The sequence below is a fragment of the Homo sapiens genome, chromosome 14, assembly GCF_000001405.40.
Source record: "Homo sapiens chromosome 14, GRCh38.p14 Primary Assembly".
Lineage (NCBI taxonomy): Eukaryota > Metazoa > Chordata > Mammalia > Primates > Hominidae > Homo > Homo sapiens.
The window spans coordinates 64,278,397-64,301,030 of NC_000014.9; the positions used below are offsets into that span (position 1 = coordinate 64,278,397).

The following is a 22,634-nucleotide window of genomic DNA, read 5'->3' on the forward strand; positions in this document are numbered from 1 at the left end:
CACTCCTCACCATATCCTGGATTCTATCAGTATTTCTCTGCTTAAGGTAAAACATCCTCTTAGAGTTATCAATGGGTGAGTTAATTTAGTAAATTGCTATTTGCCATTTACACACTATGAATTCTCTCAACGTTGCTTTTCTTAACTGGCAAAGAACAAAGCATTGGGGCTTTGATAGAAAAAGGAAGGGAGCTTTCAGATGGAAACATAGGGTGTTGCCTGGGAGGGAGCAGTTGAGGGACAGGTTATGGGGCAAATAGAGAAAACAAGAGTAAGCAAGAAAGTGACTTCAGCAAATCAGGGCTGGTACGAGAGAAGGAGTGTAGCAAAGACACATGCAGGGAGATGAGCTGACCAGCCTTGAAATCAGGGGTGCACAACTTGAAGTTTATAAACCAAAAAATAAAATTCTAAGGCCCCTCAACCATCTGAATGGGTCCCTCCTCTTGGCCAAGGGCATTACAAAGTTAACCTGAAAAATAAGTTTAGGCCATGATGGAACAAGGGAGACAGACATGGTTCATTATACCCTCCCTCCCCTTTTGGAATCACTGATAGAACAGACCCTTTAAGACCCCTAAGAAATATTTACAATCTATTCTCTCTGAAGCCTGCTACCTGGAGGCTTCATCTGCATGATAAAACCTTGGTCTCCACAATCCCTTATTGTAACCCAATCATTGCTTCCTACTGATAATAATTCTTTCAATCAATTGCCAATCAGAAAATCTTTGAACTGCCTGTGACTTGGAAGCCCCTGCTTTCAGGTGTCCTGCCTTTTCAGGCTGAATCAATGTACATCTTACATGCATTGATTAATGCCTTATGTCTCCCTAAAATGTATAAGACCAAGTTGTGGCCTGACCACCTTGGGCACATGTTCTCAGATCTCCTGAGGGCTATGTCACAGGCCATTTGTCACTCATATTTGGCTCAGAATAAATCTCTTCAAATATTTTACAGAGTTTGATTCTTTTCATCAACAAGTTGATTTAAAAAAAAAAATCCAGAAGGCGTTTAGAGAAAGTTAGGGAAATAATCTAAACACAGCCCAGAAAACAAGGGGATTGTGAACTGAGACCCTCCTAGCCTAGGGGAAGAAATGTGTCTAGATCAATTCTCAAAGTCCACTGTAGCTGAATTCCTGATTTCTGACCATTTCCAAAAAATGTGTTTATTCTTTCTTCCTCAGGAGCCAGCCCACCATCATGACTGTTAAGCATGCTATATATTAAATTTAAGTAAAAGAAAGAAACAATCTTTGCAACTCCTTGTGAGCACATTTTTTCCAAGAGACATCTTCACAAGGTTGTAACTCGATGTCTTCTATCCAACACCCATGTGGGTGAACGAGGGGTAAGACCCATTCGAGTTGGCTGTATAATCTTGGGGTTCTGGGGTAGAAATCTGCAATTCCACCCCACCACCCAACCCACTTCCAAACACACATGATCCTCTGAACTGCTCATCAAATACTTTGTGTGCCAAACAGGCCAGTAGTGACATTTCTGCCAAGTCATCTCTGCAAAATTGTTTGAAATCAAAAGTAGGAAACTAAAGAAGCAGTTAACAATTCTCTTGTACCTTGAATGCTTCTTTTAAAAAAGGCCTTACATCCTTCACACGACCAGACTCCATAGTGATATCCCGATGCGTAATCGCTGCAGACAGCGCAGAAGTGAGCATCCCTCTTTGAACCTGGACCAGTAACAGGGCTGGCGCAACGGTTCCCACTAACCTTCCTTTTCAGTGTCTCTCTAGGGAGCAAAGAAAATATCCATTGAACAGAGCATAAAAGGGAAAGGAAGGGCTTTCTAGGAAAAAAAAATAGCATGAACATTGCCTAATTTAATCTCTTTTTCCTCCAGGGTTCCTGGTAAATATATTCCCGGAAATCTGATACAGCAAAGCTTTTGATACTGATATCATATCTACAAAGAGCCACGCTGTGGGGAATGACTAATGTTTGAAAGTGGGTAGGTGAGTTTATGCCCATCCACGTGATGCTGATGAGCATTTGTCACTGCCGAAGACCAGTCATAGCCATGGGGTGGGAGCTACATCTCTAAGTGTAATGAAAGGAGTGGCCAGATCAAATCTTACCCACAGGTCTGAACCACAGGCAGGATATGCATTGGTCTTCTGTAGTTACTAGAGTTCACGAATGCTGCATGGATGGGTGTGAAGGCATTCAACCACTTCCAAACATCAGTCATTCCCAACAGCATTGCTAAGCAGCCCTTCAGACATTTGAAGTTCCCATTTAAATGGAGAACAAACATCTCACACTCTGCAATTTCAGATAAAGGTCTAGATTTAAAATAACTTTCAGGTTGGGCGCAATGGTTCATGCCTGTAATCCTAGCACATTGGGGAGCCAAGGTGGGCGTATCACCTGAGGCCAGAAGTTCGAGACCAGCTTGGCCAACAAGGTGAAACCCTATCTCTACTAAAAATACAAAAATTAGCCAGACATGGTGGTGCACACCTGTAATCCCAGCTACTTTGGAGGATGAAGCAGGAGATTGCTTGAACCCGGGAGGCAGAGGTTGCAGTGAGCCAAGACTGTGCCACTGCACTCCAGCCTGGGCAACAGAGTGAGACTCCATCTCAAAAAAATAAAATAAAAATAACTTTAAGAGGAATAACAAATGGACTTTAAGTTACCTTGAGATGAATGTGAGACAAGAAAAAGGGGGAAGAGAAGAGAAAGGGAGAGAGAAAAAAGAAGAGAGAAGAGAAGAGAGAGAACAAGCAAGTGCCTGGCCTGGAAAGGCTTGGAAGGAAGCAGAGGCTCAATGCTGGACCACAGGCAAGAGGTTCATAAAGGAACGAAAAGTCTAACAAGGGATCCCCAGGCAGCCTCCAAAACACATCTGGCTAGTTCCTGATGTTGCCAGGCATGGTTCTTTTGGAAAGGGAATGGTAAAGGTATTATTGATTTATAAATGAAGGTAATTATATAATGGATTAATTTGCCCAAAAATTAGCAGAACTTTGATTATAATTCATGCTCAGAAACAAAATATGTCTTCCTTTAAAGGAGGAAGGAGAAAAAAAAAACAAACCATTACTTTAAAAAAGTTATCCACAATGTTTATATTCTCTTTACCAATGAGTAAAATGTTTTTAAAAGAAGAAAAATAATGGTGCAATGTTACTGTCTCAAAGTTTTATGATAATATTTGAAAGTAGTGAATTTCAATATCCAACATGCCCTTAGTACTTTTAGATTTTTATCTCCCCCTCTCCTTTCTCATTATACTATCCATTCCCTTCATACCTATGATTATCATTAGAAATATTAATAATTAGATGGAAATAATCCATTATGTTACCTTGCATTTAAAGAGTACACATATCCTTTTTAACTTCAGGGAATGTCAACTGAAGCCTAAACTTCAATAGTTTCCACCAATCTTTATATAATGTTATTATTTTAGTTCATGGTTAAAAAGCTTATACCAATCATCTATCTTTTCATGCTTCGCATGTCTAGAATTTCATTTAAGTTGTAATACTATCACAGTTACTTTTATCCTGGAAACAATTTGTCATGAACATTAAATTGTGGTTTCACTATAAGAAGACTTTGAAACTGAAAGTAAAGTAAAAATTCATTTTTCAAATCCAAATAACTCCATTAAGAGTGACTTAAGTTCAGACCAGGCACAGTGTTCATCACGTCTGTAATCCCAGCACTTTGGGAGGCCAAGGCAGGTGGATCATTTGAGGTCAGGAGTTCAAGACCAGCCTAGCCAACATGGTGAAACCCTGTCTCTACTAAAAATTTAAAAAATGAGCTGGGCGTGGTGGCACGCGCCTGTAATCCCAGCTACTCGGGAGACTAAGGCACGAGAATTGCTTGAACCCAGGAGGTGAAGGTTGCAGTGAGCCGCAATCGTGCCATTATACTCCAGTCTGAGTGACAGAGCGAGACCCTGTCTCAAAAAAAGAAAAGGAGTGACTTAAGTTCAGTATTTACTGTATAAAGACAATAGTCATGATAGCAAATTCTCCCCACAACACTGATGTACACATACCAGTTTTTAATGAGAACTAAAATATCAGAATAGAACAGGGCATCCTGTGTTTTGGGTGCTGTAAGTAAACTATGTAATTAATACAATAAAGACCTTGTCTAACATATTATTTCCTTCTCACTCAACCATAAAGTGATTTGAGAAATGGCTAGCAACTATAATTCAGAATGAAGACTGGACTTACCTGTTTACAGGTAAGGTGTGTTCTAGCGATCTTGCTTCACACCAGGGACTCTTTTGAGGTTCCGCATACAGATGTGATAACTGGCGATGGACCACTAAAGGAGAAAGGTGCCCAGGTGTTGGCCACAACACATTTGGGCTTGTGGTCTGCCGACCAGGCCCACCTTCCAAGTTAGTGACATTGCTGGGAATGCTGTAATTCATCACAGCAGGGCTATAGAATGTCATGGCTGGATATTCATGGTGGCTGTCTACATAGGAGGAAGGTATGTATATGGAGCCGTGCTCCAGGGGTAAGATGGATTGACTGCAGTTGTAGGAGGAAGGAGAATTAAGGCTAGATGGTGAGTTTTTTATATCCATGTCTTGAGATAACAGCTGAGAAAACACCTTGCAAGAAGAGGCACAAAGGTCATTATAATGTTCTCAAAGATTCGTGGGCAAGTATAATGGCTGTAAAGAAACACAGAAGATATTGCCAAGTTAGAGCTACAGCTGTTAACTATGAAAATTTAAATATTTTCATTAAAAAAATACATACGTTTGTATGAGATTACAAATACATCCTGAAAAATATACATGAAAATATTAACCTCAGAGGAGTGGGAATGTGAGGCATGAAACTCACATTTTCTGCTTCATTCATCTCTTCATTGCTTGTTTGTTTAATCAAGAGTTTAAGCACAAGAGTTTAATCACGAAAATTTATTATAAAATAGTCTTTAAAACCAAAAAACACAGGATTAAATAAAAATGAAAGTTCTTATGGAAAAATAAGCAAGAATAACCAAGTAAACGCTAAGAGAAGATCAATGAGCAAGGCTAGTCTCAACCAATATTAAAATACGCTATGAGGCCAAGCGTAGTGGCTCACGCCTGTAATCCCAATACTTTGGGAGGCTGAGGTGGGCAGATTACTTGAGGTCAGGAGTTCGAGACCAGCCTGGGCAACATGGTGAAACCCCGTCTCTACTAAAAATTAGCCAGGAATGGTGGCATGTGCCTGTTGTCCCAGCTACTCAAGAGGCTGAGGTGTGATTGCTCAAGCCCAGGAGGCAGAGGTTGTAGTGAGCAGAGATTGTGCCACCGCGCTCCAGCCTGGGTGATAGAGTGAGACCCTGTCTCAAAAAAAAAAAAAAAAAAAAAAAAAGAGAGAAATTACCATTTCCGAAAAAAGTTTTTAAAAGAAAGAAAACACATTATGAATCTCCAATAATAAAAAACAATGGGTATTAGCTGAAGAGACTGACCAGTGTAACTGTGTCACTTATCAATCTGTTGCTTCTCAGTTTTGTTTTGTTTTGGTTTTGTCTTTGTTTTTGAGACAAGGTCTCACTCTGTCACCCAGGCTGGAGTGCAGTGGCATGATCTCGGCTCACTGCAACCTCCTGCCTCCCAGGTTCTAGTGATTCTCCTGCCTCAGCCTCACGAGTAGCTGAGACTATGGGTGCGCACCACTGTGACTGGCTAATTTGTTGTATTTTTTAGTAGGGATGGGGTTTCACCACGTTGGCCAGGCTGGTCTCAAACTCCTGATCTCGAGTGATCCACCTGCCTCGGTCTCCCAAAGTGCTGGGATTACAGGCATAAGTCACCATGCCTGGCCTACGTATCAGTTTTGAATGTGCCCTTCAATTTATGCTCTAAAAAACAGAATTTTTGTATGTAAAGTGAGCACAAGGCTGGGGGTGCTGGCTGATTACAGGCAAATCTTTTTTTTTGAGATGGAGTTTCACTCTTGTTGCCTAGGCTGGAGTGCAATGGCGCCATATCAGCTCACTGCAATCTCTGCCTCCCAGGTTCAAGCAATTATCATGTCTCAGCCTCCTGAGTAGCTGGGATTACAGGCATACACCACCACACTAATTTTTGTATTTTTAGTAGAGACAGGGTTTCACCGTGTTGGCCAGGCTGGTCTCGAACTCCTGACCTCAAGTGATCTGCCTGTTTCGGCCTCCCAAAGTGCTGGGATTACAGGCATGAGCTACCATGCCCGGCCACAGTAATAGACAATTAATACAATATCTGAGGGGTAATTCATCACTTTCTTTCCCAAAACCACTCATTTCCTATTTGTGTTAATAGAAAAAGCCCATCATAGTTACCTTTGACTTCTCCCCTTGACTCAGTTAACTTTACTCATCAAGGCACATTGGCTTTTTTTCCCAATGCCTTTTTTCCACTGTCTTTTGCTGCCATCTTGAAGTAAGCTCTCATTATCGCATTACTTTTTTTTTTTTTTTTTGAGACGGAGTCTCGCACTGTCACCCAGGCTGGAGTGCAGTGGCGCAATCTCGGCTCACTGCAACCTCCACCTTCCAGGTTCAAGCGATTCTTCTGCCTCAGCATCCCGAGTAGCTGGGATTATAGGCGCCCGCCACCACGCCCAGCTAACTTTTTGTATTTTTAGTAGAGACGGCGTTTCACCATGTTGGCCAGGCTCGTCTTGAAATCCTGACCTTGTGATTTGCCCGCCTCGGCCTCCCAAAGTGCTGGGATTACAGGCGTGAGCCACTGTGCCCGGCCAGCTCTCATTACTTCTTATCAGTGCATCTGTAACAGGCTTCTTACTGCTCCTCGTCCCCAGTTAGCTTCTCCTCCAGATCCATAGAGTTGTCAGATTCATGTTCTTAAAACCCAGCTCTCTGCTTCCCACCAAACTCTAAGTCACATTCTTCGAGCATTCAAGGGATGCCACTATGTTGCCTCAACCCATCATTCCACACGAATCTCCTGCTGTTTTCTTACAGAAAACCTGCTATGTCCATTAAGAAACATGCAAACTGCATTGTGAGGTGGTTGGCTTGTTATACCTTCACACTTTTTTTGCTCATAGCACCCCTTTAATCACTTACATACAAACCTAATCCTGCTTATCAGAACTACCTTGAACCCTTCTTCAAAATGATAGAGGTGCATAGGAGAGTAAGAAGTAAAGTCAATGCCTGTAATCTCAGCACTTTGGGAGGCCGAGGTGGGTGGATCACATGAGGTCAAGAGTTTGAGGCCAGCCTGGCCAAGATGGTGAAACACCATCTTCACTAAAAATACAAAAGTTAGCCAGGCGTGGTGGTGCATGCCTGTAGTCCCAGCTACTCGAGAGGCTAAGACATGAGAATCACTGAATCTGGGAGGCGGAGGCTGCATTAAGCTGAGATCGTGCCACTGCACTCCAGCCCAGGTGACAGAGTGAGACTCTGTCTCAAAAAAAAAAAAAAAAGAAAAAGAAAAAGAAAAAAAAAAGGAAATTCAGATTTTTAGCTCCTTGAAAGCAAGTACCATTTCTTACTCACCTTGCACTGAAACTCAATCAATATTTGTCATAAGGAAGTGAGGAAATGTGTTCAAAATGTAATATTTCACCAAGTCAAGGACATTAAAGATGGGGGGTGCTGCAGTAGGCATGGTAGTATGCTGAGAAAAGGGACTTCAAGGAGTTCTGGGACATACACCCTGCCTTCAGGGAGCTAATGTACCAGGAAGAGGCAGGACAGACCAGGTAAAATGATAAGGAACTAACACCAAAGTGGTACCACTTCCAACCAACATTGTAAATCAAAAATTTGGACCAAGGAGAGGAGAGAGAATGGTAGCTGGAGAAGGATATAGGATCAAGGAAGGTTTGGTGTTTGGGTTTTATTTTAATACTATATGTAATTAATAATGAGTATGGAATTTTATATTTCATTTTTTTTTTACATGGAGTTTCGCTGTGTCACCCAGGCTGGAGTGCAGTGGTACAATCTTGGCTCACTGCAACCTCCGCCTCTTGACTTCAAGTGCTTCTCCTGCCTCAGCCTCCCTAGTAGCTGGGATTACAGGTGCCTACCACCATGCCCAGCTAATTTTTTGTACTTTTAGTAGAGATGGGGTTTCACCATGTTGACCAGCCTGGTCTTGAACTTCCGACCTCAAATGATCCACCCGCCTTGGCCTCCCAAAGTGCTGGGATTACAAGCGAGAGCCACCAGCCAGAATTTTGTATTTTAATTACTTAGATTCCTGATCAACATAAACAATTCCTTATTCTTAACAGAAAATATGCAGGATAAAACATATAGTGATAACTATTGCCAAAACTAGCAGTTTCTAAAGTGGTTTTTTGTTTTGAAATGAAATCTCACTCTGTCACCCAGGCTGGAGAGTGCAGTGGTGTGATCTCGGCTCATTGCAACCTCCACCTCCAGGGTTTGAGGCGATTCCCCTGCCTCAGCCTCACAATTAGCTGGGATTATAAGCATGCACAATTAGGCCAGGCTAATTTTTGTATTTTTAGTAGAGATGGGGTTTCACCATGTTGGCCAGGCTGGTCTTGAACTCCTGACCTCAAGTGATCTGCCCGCCTTAGCCTCCCAAAGTGCTGGGATTACAGGTGTGAGTCACCGTGCCTGGCCTGAAGTTGTTTTTTTTTTTTTCTTTTTTAATTGTGTTAAAATACATGTAACATAAAACTTACCATCTTAGCCATTTCTAAGTATAAAGTTCAGTAGTGTTAAGGATATTCACATTATTGTGCAACCAATCTCTAGAACTCATTTCATCTTGCAAAACTAAAACTCTCTGTTAAACAAATTCCCCACTCCTCCCTTCCCCCAGCCCCTGGCAACCACCAGCCTACATTCTGTCTCTATGGATGTGATGACTCTGGGTACCCAGCAGTGGTGAAACCAACTATCAGACCCCACCAACAAATGACAAATGCCAGGATACACCTAGCCAATCAATCAGGTGCATGGCAACTTTGCTTAGAAAATACAGATCTCACATCTCAACATATCACCAATCAACTTCTGTAGAATTTCCACATATCCCCAGAAGGATGATAATTAAAGTTAGAGAACTGACTTCTGGAGAGTCATTAAAAGGCTAGGTGCTTTTTGTTTGGATATATTTCAGATATATCAGATTCACATGATTCACAGATTAACTCTTTGTCAGTGGCATCTTGAATAGTTAGGTACTTGGTAGCCAATGCAAAGAGTTTTTCTTCCTAAGCAGAGCCATAATAAGGGGAAGAAATGATGAACTTACACCATTGTAATAGTTCTCTGAGACAGGAGAACAGGTAGCAAAAAAAGACCTCCTTTCTACCAGAGGTCTGTAAAAATAAGTCAACAAACCCATTCTGGTTGAGAAGCCCTCCTCTAAAACAGAGATATAAACTGGTCAAAGGAAAGACTCCCCAAAAGATTTAATTTCTTTAACATTGTAGGGCAGAGTTTTCCCAACACATCGATTGAATGTTCAAACATGGCCTCAGTACAATGTTCTGGTACAACAGGAAAAAATTGTCTCTAAAGAGTTTAATTGTTGGGCCTGGCATGGAATTTCACCTGGCCAACCAAAGAACCAGTACCCAGACATCCTGATTCTAAGAATTATTCATTTATTTGCATGTCAATTTTCTTTAGTCACCATAACCTAAAATAGTTGGTCCATATCCTGGGTGGTGAACAGGCTTTGTTTTCTGTCCAGAGACCTCTCTCTCTCTCCCAGCACACACCCCTGTATTTGGCCCTCTCAGGTCACATCTGAATTCAGCCAGAAAGCTTTTTGTACACATGGGATCGTGCATGGTGTTCTAATGTACTGGCTGGGAAACATACTATGGCTTTTGAATTAAAAGAAAAAAGTAGTATTTAAAATTCCCAATTTTGACAATGATTCATGGACAAGAAAAAGTTTGGCCCTAGAAATGGCAGAAAAACACTCCAAAAAGACTACACTTTTTTTTTTTTTTTTTTGAGATGGAGTCTTGCTCTGTTGCCCAGGCTGGAGTGCAGTGGTGCAATCTTGGCTCACTGCAAGCTCCACCTCCCGGGTTCAGCCATTCTCCTGCCTCAGCCTCTCAAGTAGCTGGGACTACAGGTGCCCGCCACCATGCCCAGCTAATTTTTTCTATTTTTTAGTAGAGACGGGGTTTCACCATGTTAGCCAGGATGGTCTTGATCTCTTGACCTCGTGACCCGCCCGCCTTGGGCTCCCAAAGTGCTGGGATTACAGGCATGAGCCACCGTGCCAGCCAAGACTAGACTGGTTTTTATCAAAGCACCTGTAAATCTAGTTAATAAGAAATCAGTCACCCGGGCGCGGGTGGCTCATGCCTGTAATCCCAGCACTTTGAGAGGCCAAGGTGGGCAGATCACCTGAAATCAGGAGTTCGGGACCAGCCTGGCCAACATGGAGAAACCCAGTCTCTACTAAAAATACAAAATTAGCCGGGTGTGGCAGCGCTTGCCTGTAAACCCAGCTACTCAGAAGGCTGAGGCAGGAGAATCGCTTGAACCCAGGAGGTGGAGGTTGCGGTGAGCCGAGATCACGCCACTGCACTCCAACCTAGGTGACAAGAGCAAAACTCTGTCTCAAAAAAAAAAAAAAAAAAAAGGTCAGCCACCATCAAGCCTGTTCTTATGTATATTCTATCAATGGATAGAGCAGAACATTCATTCTAGCCCCAGCTCTGCCTGAAAGCCAGGCAATCTTAGACAAATCCACAAACTCCCTGAGCTGCCACATCTTCTTCAGTAGAATCAGGTACCTATTTGGTGCTGTACCTTTTCACGGTGCTCTGAGGGTGAAATGAGATGATGTCTGTGAAAGGATTCTGAGGCCGGGCGCAGTGGCTCACGCCTGTAACCCCAGCACTTTGGGAGGCCAAGGTGGGCAGATCACCTGAGGTCGGGAGTTTGAGACCAGCCTAACCAACATGGAGAAACCCCGTCTCTACTAAAAATACAAAATTAGCCGGGCATGGTGGCACATGCCTGTAATCCCAGCTACTCGGGAGGATGAGGCAGGACAATCGCTTGAACCTGGGAGGTGGAGGTTGCAGTGAGCTGAGATTGTGCCATTACACTCCAGCCTGGGCAACAAGAGCAAAACTTCATTTCAAAAAAAATAAAGAAAAAGAAAAAGAAAAAAAAAAAGAAAGCATTCTGTAAGGTATTATTACACATCCAAGAAGATGAAGCCAGTCTATTGGTATATCACTGGATACACATTTAGTGTTGGTTGGAATTTCCAGACAAGTTACAATGTCTTTATGGCCACCCTGAAGATTTTTGCCTCCTAATTTTACTTTTTGACTTCTGTCCACAGAAATCCATCACCCCTAGTCCAGATAGCTGGGCTGCTGGTAGCCTGCCAACACTGTGTGTGTGGACAAAATGCCACATATTCCTGATGCCATATTCTCAAGCTTGCAGACTAGGAGGATAAGTCTAGGAGGATAAGAATAGAGGATAAGTCCTCATCCCTATTCTTCTTCCACCTGCCCATCACACTTTCCCAAGCATTCAGTTCAAATGCTCCACATTTGTGTGTCCTGCAGAAGTAAAAAATTCACGCTCACAAAGCAGCAACTAGAAGGAATTTCATGGAAAAGATTTAAAAAGATTTCTTAAGCAACAAGCATCCTTGATGTGCATAAGTAGCTGTTTGACAATTATTAGCTTTTTTGGGGGGTGGGGGTTATACTCTAGCTCTGTAACTCAGGCTAGAGTGTAGTGGCAAGATCATGGCCTACTGCAGCCTTGATCTCCTGGGCTCAAGGGATCCTCCAAACTCAGCCCCCCAAGTAGCTGGGACTAAAGGCATGCACCATCATGCCCAGCTGATTTTTAAATTTTTGTAGAGATAGGGTCTCACTGTGTTGCCCAGATTGATCTTGAACTCCTTGCCTCAAGCAATCCTCCCACCTCGGCCTCCCAAAGTGCTGTGATCACAGGCATGAACCACCACACCTGGCCAATTATTATCTTTAAATGTATTCTTATTTATTTATTTATTTATTTATTTAGAGATAGAGTTTTGCTTTGTTGCCCAGGCTGGAATGCAGTGGCATGATCGCGGCTCACTGTAAACTCGGCCTCCCAGGTTCAAGCAATTCTCATGCCTCAGCCTCCTGAGTAGCTGGGACTACAGGCTTGAGCCACCATGGCCAGCTAATTTTTTGTATTCTTAACAGAGACAAGGTTTCATTATTTGGCCAGGCTGGTCTTGAACTCCTGCCCTCAAGTGATCCAGCCACCTAGGCCTCCCAAAGTGCTGAGATTACAGGCGTGAGCCACCACACCCAGCCTTTTTAAATATATTCTTTCAAAACAAAATATTAAGGCCCTCAATTAATTTAATATTAGGAAGATAAAACACTCCAAAATCACCAGAGAACTCATCATTAATAACTGATTTGCATGTAATTCTTAAGAACATGTACATAAGGAAACCCTGTTTCCTTCTAAAATGAGGAAAAGCTAATTCTCCTAGTAACCAATTGGCGCTTATTTAGTTGGATAGGAAAGAGTTTCAAGGGTTTGAATAGGGTAGGAGGACCAAGCCTCGAAGGCAGGGGTGGGAGAGAGTTCATCAGTCTTCTCAAGTGTCTTCTCTCTCAACAGCAAGTTTCTGCTCTTCCCTAACACCAACAACAGCCACAGACCATGCTCTGTAGGAACTGGACCAAATTCAAATATTCATTTGGGACAGGGTCAGAGAGAATTCCGAGTGAAGGGATTCAAGATGACACAGCCAATCCAGAAGTTAGGCTGAATGCACTCAACTCCCCTTCCAGGCCTGGGTTTGACAGTAGAACACACAACAATTTACTAACAAAATGCTGCAGTCTGGCTTTGAGGAAACATATACAAGTCCAGCAATCTATCTTTCTAGGTCACCCTAACTCTCCTGCCCTCTCTCAAGTACACCCACACAAAGATTCTCCACTAAAAGCCCTTCATTTTCAAGACCTGTCATAATTCCAGCTAGGAAGGCCAACTATCCAGTTTGCTAGCTCCTCATAAACTTGCCACTCTGCATATCCTAGTTACTACCACTGTAACTGGGTATGCAAGGTAAGTTACATATTTAAAATACAGGCTGTTTTTCATAGAACAAAGGAAAAAGGAAAAAGACATCAATTTTATATATATATATGTTAGCAGTACCTACCAATAACAGGCTCCTAACTGTATACTGAATTGAATACTGTGTTAAACAGTGAAAAATATTAGTTTACAAAAGGTTATACATCTCCACCCTGCAGGAAAATCTAGACTTCAAGACATGAGCACAGAAATTTAAAAATCCTGACATCTACAAATAAGTTGGACACAGACCTAAGCCCCTATGAAGATAAATATTTTACCTTCAGCAATTGTAATCACTCTGCATTTTAAATGTCTTCAATTTGTCATTTTCAATCCCTGTTTTGCTTCTCACTATTTGATAATATGCAATTTCAGGTAGCTTTCTTAATCTCAGGTATAATGAAAAGTAGTTTTTTTTTTAATAAAGAAGTTTTAAAATTCAAAGATTATAAAAGAATGATGCATTCTATTAATATGATATAAATAACTTTTAATGGCCTTGTATTTCAATTCAGGATAACTAATGATATATGCCATAACCAAAGGCTTAAACCACAATAGAATCTAAATCTGCTAAGAACTAAATCTATTAGCCCTATATGAATTTAACACTTAGTCCAAGTCTCAAGTTTCCCATTTGCAAATAGCATTGTCTTTGCCTTGATTTATCCCAAGGTACTAGAATTAAAAATAGCACAAACTGACTCATCCTATAAAAAGGGAAAAACAGGTTTTTCTTTCAAAAGAAGTAAAGGAAAATATGTCTAAGTAAAAACGTACTAAAGAGCAAAACCACATAATCATTATGTAGTTTTGATCAGTGATTTTCAGGGGCAGTGGGGTAGGTAGAGGTACAAAGGGGACTTTTGGGGTAATGGAACTGTTCTGTGTCATGTGTGCGGTGCTGGTTACATGACTGTGCATCTGTCAGAATTCATAGAGGTACATTTACAGAGGCTAAATTTTACTGTATGTAAATTATACTGCTGTAGCCTAATTTTTTTAAAGTGCTATTGCATATAAAACAATGTGCTAGACACTGAATTATGAAATCTAACGTTCAAGCATACAATTCTCAAGGTTTCTAGATGTATTATCAAAAACTTATCATTAAACACTTTGAGTTCAGCCTTCAGTATTTTATATTTTATCCATATTTATATTCTATAAAACGACTCAAAGCATCACCTAAAATTATCACATGAATTTTGAATTATTATGTGTTCAACATACACTTATAGAAAATTTCCTTCTTATTCTTAAAAGTGAACATATCAATATCTATTAAATGTTAATTATATGGTTATGAGTTGAATTTACTACTAAATTCTACCTTTTCTGAATTATAAATACATTAAGAAATGTAAACTGTGATTAGATTTATTCACATCCCTCAGAACACTACGAAATGTGTCCTAAACATGTTAATTGATTTCAGAAACTTCTATGTCTTGAGCAAGACTTAAGTGTTAACAAGCATCTGATGGCTTTTAAAATAAGAATGTTTCAGAAATTCATCTAAAAAAATGCTTGAACGTAAAATGCAATCCTACGGTGTATACTCTAATGCCTGTTGATGAACAGATCCTTATAGTTTCCTTCTTCTAGAACTCATATCAAAATACATTTTCTTCAGAAAAAATAGGAGTCAAAGATGTTAATCATGTTCTTTTCATAGTCACGTTACATTTGTTTTACAACACTCTCAGAAAAGCCTTTCCTTTCACATGTTCACTTTTTAAATTACAAACATGTTTCCCCTCACTAGACACCGAGTTACGAAACTTAGAGCAAAAGTAAAACTTTCTAATGGAATGCCCATGTAAATACTAGAAATATAACAAAATAAGGCAAAGTCTGTCCTCCAAAATGTTGCCTACCACACCAAAACACAATCCTGCTTTTTAAACAGCGAGTAAAATTAAATCAACCTTATCTTCCTAAATAGAAGTCCACTCAAAGTTTTTTCACAAAAATGACATTCACTTGACTTAATATTGTCCTTCCAATAAGAATAACACGCAGGGTGTTAGAGGGCAGTTGTTGGACTCCTCTTCAGCAAATAAAGGAGACCAGTTAGAGCTTAGCTTGGTCTGCCCAGGAAAGGAGGAACGCAGCTTGCTGACATGGCTAAGGAATGCCAATTAATACATTTTAAAACCCCTATCATCTTGCCTGAGACGTGTACATCTTCCCAGGCCCTCAAAGTTCAATCAGAAAGTGTATTCAACTCCATTGTCATTTCACCCATAGTGGGGAAGTCCATCGAGGAAAACCATAGGGAAATAAAATGTTTTTCAGTTATTCATATTAGCACAATCAACCCAGAGCTCACGGCACAAACTAAATAAGTTAACTTGCCAGTGTCTTGAATGAAGACATTTAATCAAAGCATGCATTTTCCAACTTTCCAGTAGCTTTCAGGACAGTTGGTTTTGGTGATCGTTTTTTGGTCTTTTATTGTTCTCAACACGACTGGTTTCTCACCGCAGGATTTCAAACAAAATGAGACAATTAAACCACACCTCGAGCGAAGGGGCGCTTACCTTGCAGATAAACACACCGGCCTTGCCTTCTCTAAAATGCGGACACGTGCTTTTCCCGCATTAGGGGGGGTCTCCCGGCGCGCGCCCCGCCGCCACCTGTTGAGGAAAGCGAGCGCACCTCCTGCAGCTCAGGCTCCGGGCGCCAGCCCTGCCCCGCAGCCCCAGAGCCCGTCGCAGCTCGGGTGGTCCCTCCCCGGCCCAGCGCTCGCCGCCTGCTCTTCGCCCTGCAAGTTTCAAGAGGCAGTTATTTCTCGCAGCCTCCGCGCTTGCAACTGCCTCCTGGCGGGGGAGTGGGTGTCCAAAAAGCCAGCAGCTGGAGAAACTGAAAAGATCACAAGCGACTTAACGATAAGCCCCTTCTTCCTTTTAAAGACCGAGAGGAGGGTAGAGGGGAGTAGTGCCTGAGCCCACGTGACCGAGCCAGGGAGCCCGACGGTCTCAGGAACGCCCGACGCCGCGCGTGACCTCTAAGTGGGAGCACCCTCGAACCGACTCCTGGTCCACCCACAAGGATAGTGGCGCACAGATGGCGCTCCCCGCAGCCCCAGTCTCAGATTTAAGAGGTCTGGAGTAGGGCCTGAGAATATGCATTTCCAACCAGGTCCTGGGGGATGCCGACACTGATACAGCCAGTCTGGGGACCACACTTCGAGGATCACGTCCTCAGCCCCTGACTCACATAAGTGTCATTCAGAACAGATGTCTGATTCTAAGGAGCCAGTGGTGAAACCAGAGAGGCTTTGGGTTTGTCAAATCCCCAGCAGCAAACGTAACCTCGGGCCCTGGAGTGGCAAAGCCGTGGACTAGAGGTGGAGGGAGTGGGTTCTCAGCTCTCAAGAGGTCACTGGGAAGGCCTTTCGCGTTAGATCAAAGATCCCAGGTACTTCCTCGAACTCACTTGAAGTGGCACCGGGGAGACCTGTGCCTCCGGCCACGGCGCCCTTCTCCGCTGGAGGCACCTGCCCACCCCTCTTCTCGGGCGAAGGCCCCTCGCGCCCCCTGGTGGCAGCCCCAGTTCCCCCAGCTTAATGGGGTGTTCCCCTCACCCACCCCAGCAGGAGCCCCAGGGTGCGAGACTAGGACCACAGTCTTAACTGGCTTTAAGGCAGCTGTTGCTGATGAAAATGAAAAGGAAAGTAGCATGTGACCCACAGGCCATTGTGAGAACCCCCCAGTGTCACATCTGTGCCTAATTAATCATCAAACCATCTACTCAGGTGGCATAAGGGACATGGTTTTTGAGGGTTGTGATCCAGATCTCTAATAGAGGAAGACGAGGGGGGGCATTTGGAGGGAAAGTTTTACAGTACCAGCCTCAGCTGTTTGGTGTTTAGCCAAAATAGAGAGACGCAAGTGTGCTCTGGGTTGATAAAGATGAGGTCCACAGGTAATGAAGACAGGCTCCAAAGATGGAGAAGCATCTGCTTCATCAGCTAAACAATAGCTGTGAAAAGTCTCCACTGCCCCACCCTAAGTCCAATTTTCATTAAAGCTGAGAGTCCTGGTTTCTCTCAGGTTGAAAGGCAGAGTCTCCCTGTCCTTGAGGCAGAGAAGTTAGTTTGGACGGGAAGAGTGTGTCGCTGGCAAATAACTGCAGCAGACAACATGCCAATCTCAGCCTCCCTGTCTCCTGTCCTGGGGTCTCTCAAAGTACCCAGTCCCCATATGCTCTTCCTCCTTGCCACCTTATGGAGAAAATGTTAAATGATGGTTTAAAAAAATCAGCTTCATGGCCAGGCATGGTGGCTCACACCTATAATCTCAGCACTTTGGGAGGCCGAGGCAGGTGGATCACGAGGTCAGGAGTTTGAGACCAGCCTGACCAACATGGTGAAACCTCGTCTCTACTAAAAATACAAAAATTGGCTGGACGTGGTGGCACATGCCAGTAATCCCAGCTACTCAGGAGGCTGAGGCAGGAGAATCGCTTGAACATGGGAGGCGGAGGTTGCAGTGAGCCAAGATCGCGCCACTGCATTCCAGCCTGGGCGACAGAGCGAGACTCTGTCTCAAAAAAAAAAAAAAAAAAAAAAATCAGCTTCATTTGGTGGTATATACTTGTTAACAAGATATCTCTGGAAATGGAAACCGTCATGAAGGAATTTCAACCATAAGCCAACAGGCAGAAAAAGATAGGTGAGGGTGAAGAAAATGCATCTATCAATATTAACATCATACCTGACGCTGTGCTAAGCACCTGCACAGCATCTCATTTAATCCTCACACCAGCTCAGTGAGATATTGACTCCACTTTTCCAGTGAGGAAATTGAGGCTCACAGAGCTTCTGTCAGCTACCTGAAGCCACCTAGTGAGAAAGGAACCCAGTAACAACAGTGGCTTCATAGACAGCTACCGCTTATTGGACATTTATGCCCCGCTTTCTCTCAATAATTCTTATTTTATACGCAAGCCTATAAGGCAAATTCTATTACCCCCATTTTATACTTGAGAAAATGAATGTTCAGGAAGGTTAAACAACCTCCCTATGGTCACATGACCTATCAGTGGCTAAGAAGGACTTGAATCCAGGAGAGAGGCCAAGGACCCATTTACCTCCATACCATGCCTCCAATCAATCAGAATGAAAATGGCTTGACTCTCTGCTCTATGCAGAACACTGCAGACAAACTTCTGCCACCTGTGTGCCAAGCTTCTGCTCTGTGTTCACTGTGATGCTTCCTTCAGAAGGCATTCTACACACAGGAACAGCATGTTCTCTTTTCAGAGCAGCTCAAACACCCACAGAAGCTGTTTATTATACAAGGAAACCTCACTGCAGGAAATAATAAGCAGAAAATGAATGGGAGTGAGTAAGTTTCCTTCTGACTCACCCTGTCCATCAAGAAAGACAATGGTACCCAGAGATGGAAACTTTGCCTGGTTTAATGCAGAGTGGAGAGGATGATTATTCCAATTCTACCTGAATTGTGACCACAATGATGAAGGGATTATTCTTGAGGCAGTTCATACCAATGGCTAGACCAAAAAGCCCCCTGAAGCCTGGTATTGAGAACGATGCCTGCTATATAAGTGAGCAGGGTCCCAGCCTCATTTCCACCTCACCCCTGACCTGCCTAAGGAAGCACCCACATATGACATTGAAAGGACTGCCTGTCTCCAAAATATCCTACAATGGGGATTGAAATTGTCACCATTAAGTCATCTTTTGGGGATAAAGCATTGAATTGTTAAAATTAAGTCATGTTATATATGATGGGTAATATTAACTTACTAGCATTTATGATTAACAAGATGAGCTTGCAGCATGAGCTAGATGTCACCTGGGAAAGCAAAGGAAGTCAATGTAGTACAGGTATGGTTTGCTGTGAAGAGGAAGGAAAGCCTCTCCATAAAAGGTGCACCTTCCTCATCTTCTCACCCCACCCCTTCTCTGTCTAGCAAAGTCTTACACATCCCAAAGCCAAGAGCCTAAATAAGGTGAAGAGCACATTAGCCCAGTGGAACGTGCACATTGGCTCCCCCACAGCCCTCATCTTACCTGTCAACACAACCTGCGCTGCGATTGGACAGCGCATGTCTTACATCTCTAGCATTCTCCATGGTCCATAACACCCACCTAGCACAATCCACGCGTTCAACAAATGTTTGCTGAAGCCTTTGACTTGGAAAGATCAGAGGGAGAATTTTCCGTAGGAAAGAAACTACCAAGAGGCAAAACAAAACCCTGTAAAAGGCAAGAAAGCAAAAGCTAATAGGAAAAGTGGAGGGAAAGGAGGAATGCTACAGATGTCTAGAAGGGTGTCATGCCAAAGGGTGCCTTTGGATTGTTGCTTTATTCTCTGAGCTTGAAGCCAAGTAGGAGGATTTGGGTTCTGGGATAGTTATCTGCTCCAGAGTGTTATAGGAACAAGCTTATTTATATTATGTGGGTATAAATTGGTCTGTTTTAAGAGAATCTGAGAGATAAAACCCTACACTTATGGAATTAATAAAGGGGAAAGATTAATTGAACGTGCAATAACACCTTTTTTTGGTGGTGATGAATGAAAAAGATAGGATTACTAATTAATATGTCAGAGATCATCTCAACTGAACATAAAGTTCACAAAATGTGATTTGACATTTGAAACTTGAATTTGGATAGAGCTCTTTAGGATCACATCTTTTGTAGAAATAAAAACAAACCTAATATTTATTGAGCATTTTTCTAGCCTGGACACCACAGTAGGCAGGCTTGCATAGGTTGATTCACTTTTATTTCATTTAATCCTTGAAAATTCCCTGGGACTGTCTATTTTACAGATGGGAAAACTGAGGCTCAGAGAGCTAACATTTATTTTATAAAGTCACCCATGTGCATTTGGTAGGGTGAAAGTTTCCACCCAACTTTACCTACCTACCTGCACATCCCATGTTTTCTCCACTGTCATGAGATGCTGTTCTTATTTGTTGCATAAATGGAGGCATGTCTGTCCTGTAGAGCCCAGATACTGTTGAATGAAATGTTGTCAATTTCTTGTCTAGGAATGACCACCTATGAGCATATTTATGTAACTTATTCTTTATTGATCTGCGTTGGACTGGGGCCCTCAGAGGGTAACAAGGACATAAGCAGCAAGACAGACCCAACCTGATACCTGGGCACCAGGACCATGAGACAAGGTTGCTCTGACCTGCAGTTTAAATGAACCACCTGAGCAAGCAGCACCTGCAGCCAACTCTTTCTAAATCACACTCATGTGTTTCAGTCTTGATCTTTGCTATTTGTAAACAAACAGGTAAAAAATAACTTTTTGTCCTGTCCACTGCCCCTCAAAGGTACTTAAATTCCACACAAATCCCTTGCATACCTTAAGTTTCTAATTTTCTATGCATTTGAAATCAAACATGAAGCATACACATTTTTGTCCTTACTTCCAACTCTGCAGCAATTCTCTTGAGCTAGAAGAGAAACTAGCCCCTAGAGGTCATTGGCATGAATGTGAACACCCAGTTAAGAAAAAAAAAAAAAAAAGTTATAGGACTGTTAGAAATGGCGGCAAATTGTAATATGCAATTTCACAAATGACTCAAATGCAATTCTGAAAATGCAGCTTCCTTACATTTTCTGGCTCAGAAGATATTAATAAGTCAGCCAGTGTAATATTCCCTGAAATGAGATAAAAAAAAAAAAGGTACAGACAGACATGGCTTGAGACCATAGATAAGACTGTCTGATTTCATAGTTTAATATTTCAAAAAATATTTCAAAAATTTTGACTAAAGTTTTTTCTACATCTTCTTGTAAATGTATCTAACATTTTCAATTTCTTTGTTCATATCATGGAAAGTTACTATAACTGCCTCATATTGTCCTTTAGACCCATAGCAACTAACTCTCCAGTGATGCTCATTACAGAAATAGCTTTTTTTTTTTTTTTTTTTGAGACGGAGTCTCGCTCTGTCGCCCAGGCTAGAGTGCAGTGGCACAATCTTCCGCCTCAGCCCCCCAAGTAGCTGAGACTACAGGCACCCACCACCACACCCGGCTAATTTTTTTGTATTTTTTTAGTAGAGACAGGGTTTCACCGTGGTAGCCAGGATGGTCTCGATCTCCTGGCCTCCTGATCCACCCGCCTCCGCCTCCCAAAGTGCTGGGATTACAGGCGTCAGCCACCGCGCCCAGCCCAGAAATGGCTTTTATAAAAATACAGACTTGATTTTTTGTGCACAGAGCGTGCTTCTTTCACATATGTCACCGTTTGATCTGATGAACCTAACCAGAGAAAGGAATCGTTTTCTTCTCTCTTATTCAGTCCTCTCCTTTGCTGGGAATTATAAACAGAAAATGAACTTCTCCAAGTAGTTCATGCAGCTACTTAAGGATCACCAATGCTGTTCCATGGGCCAGGATCTCTGCATTCTCCTCTCCCCTCACATTGTTTCTCTTCCTTTTACATTCTCACATATTATTTTTCTACTGTCCAGGCAGTTTAGCTAACTAGCTTCTTAATGGTTCTGCTCATAGTCAAGTCAAGTGCTTCCTCAGCCTGCTCCACGTATTCTACCACGCCACCAGCCACAGCTTACTAGGAGGACTGCTGTCCTGGCATGACACTGGCTTCTAGTTAACAAAGAACTTGCATGGCCACATCATGCTGCATGTTCACACCAACCCTACAATGTTGATTTTATCACCAATTTGCTGACAAGGAAACTTGAGGGTGTTTTCCAGATTTGCACTCATAGGAACACAGGTCATCTGACTTCCATACAGATGCACACCTGCCTCCTTGCAAGAGATTCAGTTTCTGTGTTCCTAGCACTGAGGCTGTCAACATCTGCCATATTGCACTGCTACTATCTCACAGGCCTTTCAACCGGACCCCATCCCTTCCTTCTCATCCTACCTCTACCCTCCCTCATCTCAGTCTAAAATACCACTCAAGGGAGAAAATTCTTAACAACTTCTTTAGTTATTTTCACCTTAAAATTTTTCTGACAGGCTGGGTGTGGTGGCTCATGCCTGCAATCCCAGCACTTTGGGAGGCCAAGATGAGAGGATCGCTCGAGCCCAGGAGTTCAAGACCAGCCTGGACAACATGGCGAAAACCCATCTCTACAAAAAATACAACAATTAACCAGGTGTGGTGGCACCTGTAGTCCCAGCTACTCGGGAGGCTGAGGCTGGAGGATCACTTGAGCCTGGGAGGTTGAGGCTTCAGTGAGCTAAGATCACACCACTGCACTTCAGCCTGGGTGATAGATACCTCATCTTTAAAAAAAAAAATTTTTTTCTGACACTCAGCATTACATTTATTCTTTCATAAAACACTCTTCTTTGAGACTGCATCTTGCCCTCATGCATTTATCTCTTTGTGACAATGCTCCCTTAATGCTTGCAATACCTTAAGTGTCTACCTGAGACACAAGGAAATATGAGGGTGTTTGCTCACAGATGATGAGGAGGAGGCTATAACTACCATTCATTCAGCAGTTGCTTGTAAATCCTTTGCCTGCACTATTTAATTTTATCCTTAAAACAATCCAATGAGGT

The 22,634-nt window shown here is 42.5% G+C and overlaps 1 protein-coding gene across 12 annotated transcripts in view; it reads right to left on the bottom strand.

Annotated features, from left to right (window-relative positions):
- The window catches only part of ESR2 (estrogen receptor 2), a 111,907-nt gene that overhangs the window by 51,690 nt on the left and 37,583 nt on the right, over nucleotides 1-22,634 (bottom strand). For 8 of the 12 annotated variants that reach the window (NR_073496.2, XM_047431076.1, NM_001291723.1 and 5 more), the window contains 2 exons: nucleotides 4,228-4,679; nucleotides 1,585-1,757 (listed from right to left, as the gene is read on the bottom strand). Coding sequence is in view for 10 of the 12 variants with exons in the window: in XM_047431076.1 (XP_047287032.1) it covers nucleotides 1,585-1,757; nucleotides 4,228-4,589 (535 nt within the window). In the remaining 2 variants the exon portion in view is untranslated. Of the gene's footprint in view, nucleotides 1-1,584; nucleotides 1,758-4,227; nucleotides 4,680-15,636; nucleotides 16,015-19,136; nucleotides 19,323-19,994; nucleotides 20,089-22,634 lie in introns of those variants that run through there. The other 4 variants (NM_001291712.2, NM_001040275.1, NM_001437.3 and 1 more) reach the window with 4 other exon arrangements.